We start from the raw sequence: 9,791 nt of genomic DNA, 5'->3' as shown, positions 1-9,791 counted from the left end.
ACAGCCAGCTAATTTTTGTATTTTTAGTAGAGAGGAAGTTTCACCATGTTGGCCAGGTTGGTCTCTAACTCCTGACCTCAGGTGATCTGCCCACCTCAGCCTCCCAAAGTGCTGGGATTACAGGAGTGAGCTACCACGCCCAGCTGTCTTTTCTTTTTTTAAAGGAAAGCATTTGACAATATTATTATAATTGTGTTGGATATAAAATATTTAATTTCCTCTGGATGGCCAAATCTCCCAGATATGAAACCTGCGGAAGGCAGAAGTGAGCTTGGAGGACTAGGATGGAGAGAGGTTACTATCCACCAGCATCTGGGGAGCCCAAGGCTTCCCCCAGGACTCTCCTGAGCCTGTGTATCCCTGGAGACCTTTTGAGTATCTTCTGCACCCTTTAACCCCACCCCTAAGTCCTGGGAGAAACGGGCCACATTGAGACATGGGACAGGACCAGATATGCTTGACAGAAAGGCTAGGGGTGGCTTTGAGGCCCAGTTAATATTCCAAAGTAGTAACTTTAGCAAAATTGTATTGGTGTTGAGAAAAATAAAAAATTTCAAGTATGTGGTGCTGTGGCACGCCTGCCTCTGCCACGCAGCACCGCAGCCTGTGGGAACTGAGAAGGCAGGAATTGAGAGGGAGGCTGCTTTCCCAACACCAACAGAGCAGAGGAGGAAGGAGGTGATGGAATATGAGGCTAGGAGAAGAACCTGGTAGCCTTGCCCTGAGATGGCCAGAAAACCCTTGGCCTCACCTTGGACTGAACGGGCAGCCCTAGTTTAAGCACAAGGTAGTCAGTCTTTCACTCTTCATGGCTGTGGCAATATTTCTTCTTACTCTTTTTCTCCAGCTACTGCCAAAATGGCCAAACTTAGGCCAAATGTTGCCCAAGAGACCAAAACAGAGGCAAACAGTCTCCAAATATATGTAGATCATGAGCAGAAATCTGAGGCTTGGAGAAAGGGCTGAGAAGCCGTGAGCTCTTTGAGGTGTCAAGGGCAGACTCCCATCCCAAGGACTTCCATGGGGAGGGGAAGGACTGGGTAAGTTTGAATTTTATGGTCAATATAGTAAATTAATCAAAAGCTTTCACAAAACAAACACCCCAGCCCTTCTGAAGATACAATGGGGCTGAAAAAACACAAACACCAAGCGAAACTGACCAAGGTGAGCTGTTGCAGTTCAGTCTCATGGGTCCAGCTGCTCAGTGGCCAAATAGAGACTCAAGGGCCTCTTGTTTGCTGTTCTGCAGGTTTACAAGAACTGGTCAGTAAAGCTGGTTTTTCAATTGGTGCTGGATGCCAATCACGATCTCCCATGGCCTGTGGCTTGCAGTGCTCCTCAATCTATCTGAAGACACAGGCTGACAGCTCCTAGAAGTTGGTCACAGAGATGAAGACATTGAAGGACTGGAACAGGGAGTTCGTGATACCTCGAAACACACTGACCTTGACTTGGTCAGAGGCCTGGTCCTCCCCTCATGGGGGTTGTCCTGGTGTGCCTTCACAATCTGCTTATAGTTCCCTTTCATGATCTTTAGGGCTGTGAGGTCCTTGCATAGTGTGGACACCTCCTCCTCCTGCATTTTCTTCTCCTTGTGCAAAAACTGAGTGTAGTCAATGGTCTTTTGTAGAACGATGGCTTTGCTGAGCTTTCGGGAGCCAATGCAGGAGTCCTGCTGCTGGCATGTGGGGATGATGGTCTGAAGGTCATCACAGCCTCTCTTGATGACATCCTTCCTCTTCTGCTCAGCCTCAGTGTGTGCTCACCACTACTGGTCCTTGTAGGACTCTTGGTGGTAATCACTGTCCTCCTCATCTGTGTTGGGGATGGAAGAGGCACTGGTGGAACCGATGCTATTAGCTCTAGACACTACTGTCCCATTGTGGGTGCTTTCTATAAAATACGTGAGGTCTGAGCTTTTGTAGCTGTAGATGTACTCCACCTTTACCCAGGGGTCTTTGGGAGAGGCACCTGGCTCCATCGTCTTGGACCTACTGGACCAGAAACAAGCCCTATTTTATTTTCTACCTGCCGAAAAGAACTATACATTTTGCTAACACCTCCAGGTGATGATGGTTGATCAAATATTGTAAATAAACATAAATATATTCAATGTTTGATCTTGCATATTGAAACTAATTCTTCTCTCTTTTTCTAATTATACTTTCTAATTATACATAAGACAATAGTTGATGGTAGAAAGTATGAGTGACATGGGTCAAAATATCTACGTACCAGGTTCAAATATGTCTCTCATTAAATTTATGACCTTGATCAAGTTGCTTAAACTCTCTGATCCTCAATTTCTCCATCAGTGAGATTGAGACTAAAAACATTGAATCATAGTTTGTACAAAGAAGTGCTGGGTAAGATGGTATGTTTGTGGAATCTTTTTTATTTTATTTATTTATTTAGTTAGTTTTTTTTTTTTTAGAGACAGTCTTGCTCTATCCCCCTGAAGTGCAGTGGTGCGATCTCAGTTCACTGCAACCTCTGCCTCCCAAGTTCAAGTGATTTTCATGCCTCGGCCTCCCCAGTAGCTGGGACTACAGGTGCCTCTCACCACGCCTAGATAATTTTTGTATTTTTAGTAGAGACAGGATTTCGCCATGTTGGCCAGGCTGGTCTTGAACTCCTGACCTCAAGTGATCTGCCTGCCTTGATCTCCCAAAGTGTTGGGATTACAGGCATGAGCCACTGCACCCAGCCTGTTTGTAGAATCTTATACAGATTTTGGCTCCTAGTATTATTTCTTGGATTACATATAACATTTTGTATTGTAATAAAAGGAAGAACTCTAAAATTTGACCAGTGTTAATAGGTACGAATGGAGAGCCACAAAATTAAAAACGCAGAGCTTTATCTCACAGGCACATACACATCCACTCCAGATATATTAAACAATTGTATTAGTATGCTAAAATAATAAAACAGTAGGGAAATATTTTTATAAATATTGAAATGGGGAAGACCTTCCCAGGAAAAGCCTCAAACACAGAAACCATAAAGGGAAATATTGATGTATTTGAATACATACAATTTTTAAATTTTAGAATCATAAAATATACCATGAACATAGTTAAAAGACTTTGAGAAAACTGGAGAAAATATTTGCAGATGGAGACAGAGAATGAACACCCACGAAATAGAAGGTGCTATTAAAAATCAGTGAGAGAAGAAAAATAACCCAATACAAAAAATGAAGAAAGGATTTGAACAGAATCCCACTGCACCAAATGTCTAATAATAATGATCATAAAAAGATGCTTAATTCACTCACAAATAGAAATACAAATTAAACTGAATTATCATGTTTCACCCAAACTAGTGAAAACATAAGCGTTGATAGTATTTAGTATTTAGATGTGGGGAAAGGTCTTATACTGTGTGGGAATGTGAGTTGGTATGGGAAATTGGTAAATTTCCCAAATGGTAAATTGAGGGAACTTTGTCAGTTACTGGTAAAATTTAAAATGTGCATGCTCTCTAAAGAACAATTTTTTTTTTCTTTGAGATGGAGTCTTGCTCTGTTGCCCAGGCTGGAGTGCAGTGGTGTGATCTTGGCTTACTGCAAGCTTGGCCTCCTGGGTTCACGCCATTCTCCTGCCTCAGCCTCCCGAGTAGCTGGGACTACAGGCGCCTGCCACCACGCCCGGCTAATTGTTTTGTGCTTTTTAGTAGAGACGGGGTTTCACTGTGTTAGCCAGGATGGTCTCAATCTCTTGACCTCATGATCTGCCTGCCTTGGCCTCCCAAAGTGCTGAGATTACAGGCGTGAGCCACCGCACCCTGCCTAAGGAACAATTTTACTTTTAGAAATCTTCCCTTCAGAAATACATAAAATAAAAATAGTAATCACTACCTTAATAATAACTTCCATTTCTTGAACACTTGATGCGAGTCACGGTACTGTGTACTTTGCATGCTATCTCATTCAAATCTCATGACAATCTTGAGAGACACTGAGAGGGAGACAGAAGACAAACCAAAGCATAAGTATAGTGATAAAATAAGTAATTTTTGTGTGTGCATACTTTAATTCTTAAATTGCTATCAAGAATGCATATTGTTATTAGCCGGGTGTGGTGGCAGGTGCTTGTAATCCCAGTTACTCAGGAAGCTGAGGCAGGAGAATAGCTTGAACCTAGGAGGCGGAGGTTGCAGTGAGCCAAGGTCACACCCCTGTACTCCAGCCTGGGTGATAGACCGAGACTCTGTATCAAAAAAAAAAAAAAATGCATCTCGCTTTTGTGATTATGTATATTAATTGTTATATAATAAAAGAATATTATGGAAAATGAAATTCATAAAGAACAAATGTGTTAAATACCATTTTGATTTTAACAATGGATGGAATATGTTGGGAGATACCCAAGGACAATACAAGTTCAAACTTTGGATAAGTTACTATGTTATTGGGAAGAGAAGATGAAATGTTTTGAACAACCTGAGACAATTTATACCAATTGCTAAATCATCTGGTGTATATAGCTTGTTGCCATAGCAATCCAGAGTAGGGAGCCCAGTATATACTTGTTTCTGTGACAGGCAGTCTCTAATTCTTGCTACCCTGAATTTCTCTGGTTGATATATCTGATGCTGCCCATATAGTCTCATTCCATTTGTCTGCTTGAGCAGCTGACTCGTCAGTTTCTTCTGGTTTAAATTTAAATCTGTATTGTTCCTTTCCAATTAAGATCACCACCTAGAGTAACTGCTGACTACATGGAGATTATAGAAAAAAGTGGTGCTTTTAACTGTAAGGTTTTCTGACCCCATTTCTAGAAATACACTTCATCAATAAGTAGAACTTTCCTTTATTGTCTATAAATGGCAGTACAACATACTGGTTAAGAGCACAGACTCTGAACTAGACTTGAAATACTGGCAGCGCCACTTTCCAGCTGTGTGACATTGGCAATTTACTTAACCTCTGACTTTTAATCTCTTCATTCTTAATATGGAGATAATAATAATGGTATCCTCAGGCCGTGTGCAGTGGCTCACGCCTATAATCCCAGCTCTTTGGGAGGTGGAGGGGGGAGGATCACCTGAGGTCAGGAGTTTGAGACCAGCCTGGCCAACATGGTGAAACCCTGTCTCCACTAATAATACAAAAATTAGCCTGGCATGGTGGCACGGACCTGTAACCCTAGTTACTTGGGAGGCTGAGGCAGGAGAATTGCTTGGTGCCACTGCACTCCAGCCTGGGCGACAGAGTGAGACCCTGTCTCAAAATAAATAAAAATAAATAGATAAATAAATAAATAAAACAATGGCACTCTTATGTGGTTGAAGATTGAGTCCATATATGTAAGGTACCTTAAATGACAATGTATCTGGCACATGGTAAATGTTCTATAAGTACTTACTACTAGAAATAGGCACCTTAATTAAATATTTCTACCTCTTTTGTTTTATTTTATTTTATTTTATTTTTTTTTGAGACAGAGTCTTGCTATGTCACCCAGGCTGGAGTGCAGTGGCATGATCTCAGCTCACTGCAACCTCTGCCTCTTGGGTTCAAGCAATTCTCCTGCCTCAGCCTCCCGAGTAGCTGGTACTACAGGCGCCCGCCATCACATCCGGCTAATTTCTGTATTTTTAGTAGAGATGAGGTTTTGCCATGTTGGCCAGGCTGGTCTTGAACTCCTGATCTCAGGTGATCCACCCACCTTGGCCCCCCAAAGTGCTGGGATTACAGGCATAAGCCACGGCGCCCAGCCAATATTTCTACCTTTTGGGGTTGCTTCCTCATCATGGAATTAATACTTGCTTATGGAGGCTGTTTCCTCTTTATAAACAGTACCCCTCACTTGTAGCTCCATTCTGAAAAATTCTGACAGATAATTCAGCAGACTAAACGATCAAATCACCCTGGCACGTTCCCCTCAGCTGGGCTCTGCAGGGCAGCTAAGATTGGGCACTGATGTTCCTGGCTTCAGTCCTACCCGGGTTATGCAGCTACGGCTTCATACATACACCAGTTGCACTAACTTGGGATGAAAATTAAGTTAAAACCAGTAGAAAATTTCATCCTATGTTTTGGTGGTAAAAGAAGCAAATGAACAAATGAATAGAGGCTGCCAAACAGTTGTCTCACCAACTGTTCCGACTAGCTAACAAGATTAGCTAGGTCATACCTAGTCGTAAAAGAATACTATAAGAACTCAGAAATTCGACATATTTCTACTACTTGCTTGTCATGTAGATAAACAGATTAAAAGAACCATAAAAAAACAAAGAGAAAATAATAGTAGGATTAGAGAGCATGTTATCATCTCATGGGCTCACTTGGCCTTAGAAAGAGGTGTTTATCCATCATGAATATGAATCCAGGGGTCTGAATGGATATAAGAGAACCAAATGTAACAGAAATTTAATATCATTTTTTCCCCTGAGATGAAACATTTTACATTTTCCAGTTTATTAGATAAAATTACTAAACATGTTCTAGACCCTGGAGTTGTAGATTTTATGATGTTGGCTGCTGTGGAGTGGCCATGACTGGTTTTTCAAATTGTTAATTTGATTTCTTTTTAATACATATGGATTTACGTGACCCATGGCAAGAGATTGTAGATTATTTCATTGTATTTATGAGTTTCCTGTAATTTTAGCAAGTTCCATTGTCAATGCAGATGTTTACTCAAAAGAAGAAGAAGAAGAATAAAATCTAAAACCAAGAAAATGCTTTTGAGAATGAATTTCACTATAAGTTTGAATTCAAAGTCATGGAGTTGAGAAATGTATTTTATGTTGGAAAATAAAGATCTCAATAATAGACATAGCATTCACTAACTTCACTTCTCCATTTTCAATAAACAATGTCAGATTGGCTGAGTGTGATGCTGAAGCTCAAACAACTAAATACACCATCTTATGACTCATTTCCTTTAGTGAGTCACTGAGTCATAACACGTCTTTGTTCATTCAGTTCTACGCAAAAGGTCTCAATAAACTCCAAAGTACCTTATGTTCTTTGTGACTAGGTAGGGAGGTATATAATGACATTCCCATTTTCTTTATTCTTTTCTTTTTTTTTTTGAGATGGAGTCTCACTCTGTCTCCAGGCTGGAGTGCAGTGGCCCGATCTCGGCTTGCTGCAACCTCCGCCTCCTGGGTTCAAGTGATTCTTCTGCCTCAGACTCCCGAGTAGCTGGTATTACAGCCATGTGCCACCATGCCCAGCTAATTTTTGTATTTTTAGTAGAGATGGGGTTTCACCATGTTGGCCAGGATTGTCTCGATCTCTTGAGCTCGTGATCTGCCCGCCTTGGCCTCCCAAAGTGTTGGGATTACAGGCGTGAGCCACAACGCCCAGCCCCCATTTTCTTTTAAATATATATTAAGTAACTTTGATGGGCAGCCCATAAAATACCATTAAATGTTGACTAGATAGTTTGGGTGGTACAACTTCTCTTTTTTCTCACTTTCCTTTCTTATAAACTCTTTCTCCTTCAAACTCTTTCTAGCCTTCACATTAACTTTTCTGCCTCCAGTATAACCCAAGTAAACAAATCTTGGTTGGAACCAGTTTTGCCTATGCCTGAGATCAAGTTTTAAAATGGGGTCAAAAATATACTGCCTTTCAATGGTTACTTTCCTTTACTTACCTGACAATTACTTCACCTGCTTCCCAAATTCAGTTTCCAAATCAAAATAATAATTTTCTCCTCTGTGCTTGTGCTTGTTTGTCATGAGCAAAAACTGCCCCTTCATCAGAACGAATCCATTTGGAGGTAAGAAATAACCTCTGGGAAAGGATAAGCTCTGGGCCAAAATAGCTTCAGCCTTGGCTTGTTCCAAGAGTCTATACAAAGTCATTTTGGAGAATACATCCCAGAGTTTCTCCTTCTTTAGGACAGGGATGACATTATTTTGTGAACCTGTAAAATCCTTGAATGACAATCAGAAGCATAGCCAGGGGAAGATGAGGGAGGATATGTAGTTGTTCTCCTTAGCACATTGTTCAAATGTGGATTCTTTTTCAACAACACATTTCTGAAGAGTAACATGTGAATAGGTAAGGCTATGCTGAGAACATGTTAGAAAAAGCAAGACTGTGAGGTGGAGAGAAGGTAGTCATGGGGGTGAGGGGATATACTTATGTTGTTCTACCTACCAAGGACACAGATCGCTTGCCCTCAGCCCAGCCTGGCCCCAAGAATAGCTCCCCCTAAAGTTAGAATCTAGTTGTGCTTTAAATGACAACATGGTTGCACAAAGTCATAGATGATCTACTGCTCGTATCAGACAAGTGGAAATCTCTGCTCCCAAATGCAGGTGGTGAATCACCCCTGGAAGCTGCTATGTCAAAAAGAATGACCCTCCAGGCCCCAGACCCAAGTGGGTGCTCTGCTTTGTTCTTTGTCGGACAACTCCCATCGTCCTCCTGTGACTATTTTCTCTGCTTTTGTAAAATGCACTTTTGTGTGTGTGCTGGATAAAACCAGTCTCCCAGCTCCTCCTGAATGATTCCAGTATTGATGAGAAAGTGGTTTATTTCTAAACCCCAGAGGTCAGATCATAGCGTTCTCGAGACTGAGTCATAAAATCAAAGTTAAATGCGTTACCTGTTCCTTAATGAAAAGCATGGGTATGAGACCTCCCAGTAGTTCACATGATTCATGAGAAATAAATGAAAAGGACAGCCTTATGGAATAGTACCAATTCAAATGATCTTTCCTTCTCCTGGTAATTACAAGGCCTCAATCTCATTAAGGCCAACATATTCAATGAAGGAAGATCAGTTTCTATGGAGAGTCATTTCCTTTAAATAGATGAGCTAATAACTGGTACTAATGATAAACATCTTTTAGCTATGGAAATTATACTTTTCATTTAGTAGTTTTTTTCCAGTGTGCTACACTCTCTAACGTATCCAGTGTCTCAACGTGCTCATAAGGTTAGCAGCCATGTGGATAATCACCCTTGTTCTAGAGAGCAGGAGCCTGAGAAAAAGAAAAGTTGGAAAATATTATCTAGGGATGACATACATGGGATGGAAAGTGATAAAATATTAGGTCTGTGACTTTATAATTAAAATTCACCAAATTCTTTCAGAGCCTTTAAAAATAACACATTCTTTCTATTTGACATGTTGCCATTACCTCATGATGGCATTCACCAATAATTTCATCTTGCATCTGGAGATCCTAAGAATAGTTCTAAAAGGTAAAGGAGTTTCATTAATAATTAAATTTCATAATAAGAAACAGACTAAGATATTTCTTTCTTTCTCTCTTGGAAACAGATCAGCTTACAATGCTAAGTAAAATGTGGTCCAAAGATACAATCAGAACTACTATGCATAATTATAGTGTCTATGTTTGTCAAGTTCTGAAAATGTTTGAATGAGTCTGAAGAGTTTCAGTCTCTTCAAGAAGTATTTGTTCACTATAAAAATTCAGTTTGACTGCTAGCCAGGGTCATTTATCAGAAGTAATTTGTGAATAAAGTAATATGATTTGATATAAAAACACCAGAAGACTAGGCCATGCTTGCTTGGTGCTAAAGTATTTATGTGAGAAAGATTCTAGGGGAACCAAGGATGGAATCCACATTTTCTGTCAAGTTGAAAGTTCTTTCTGATTAGGTAAAATGAAATCTCACTGAACAGAGGGCTGAGTACTACCTTAGTCATAGTTTGAATGACTTTAAGTGGAGAGGAGAGGAAAGGACAAGATTTCCTTGTTTAATTGAGAGTTGCTGTTGACAATGGAGAGTTGTTTCTCCAGCTGTCGTCTACTACCTGGGGTTATTGACCTTGGCTGCTCATCAGTCATCTG

The 9,791-nt window shown here is 40.6% G+C and overlaps 1 pseudogene, besides 3 other annotated features; it reads right to left on the bottom strand.

The window, feature by feature from the left end:
* On the bottom strand, positions 1,069-2,007 carry MLXP1 (MLX pseudogene 1; annotated as a pseudogene).
* Positions 6,302-7,501: an enhancer, noted in NCBI's record as "CDK7 strongly-dependent group 2 enhancer chr2:224563821-224565020 (GRCh37/hg19 assembly coordinates)". NCBI's record gives its function as "activates an origin of replication core promoter dependent on BRD2, BRD4, P300/CBP, MED14 and CDK7 cofactors, with strong dependence on CDK7, by STARR-seq in HCT116 cells {active_cell/tissue: HCT116}" and the evidence as "EXISTENCE:reporter gene assay evidence [ECO:0000049][PMID:35650434]".
* Positions 6,679-6,973: an enhancer, noted in NCBI's record as "tiled region #6301; HepG2 Activating non-DNase unmatched - State 9:DNaseU, and K562 Activating non-DNase unmatched - State 24:Quies". NCBI's record gives its function as "activates a minimal TATA promoter and a strong SV40 promoter by Sharpr-MPRA in HepG2 and K562 cells {active_cell/tissue: HepG2 | K562}" and the evidence as "EXISTENCE:reporter gene assay evidence [ECO:0000049][PMID:27701403]".
* Positions 8,151-9,350: an enhancer, noted in NCBI's record as "BRD4-independent group 4 enhancer chr2:224561972-224563171 (GRCh37/hg19 assembly coordinates)". NCBI's record gives its function as "activates an origin of replication core promoter dependent on BRD2, P300/CBP, MED14 and CDK7 cofactors, and independent of BRD4, by STARR-seq in HCT116 cells {active_cell/tissue: HCT116}" and the evidence as "EXISTENCE:reporter gene assay evidence [ECO:0000049][PMID:35650434]".

Source organism: Homo sapiens, chromosome 2, assembly GCF_000001405.40.
Source record: "Homo sapiens chromosome 2, GRCh38.p14 Primary Assembly".
Classification (NCBI taxonomy): domain Eukaryota; kingdom Metazoa; phylum Chordata; class Mammalia; order Primates; family Hominidae; genus Homo; species Homo sapiens.
This window is presented reverse-complemented; position numbering and strand designations above follow the sequence as displayed.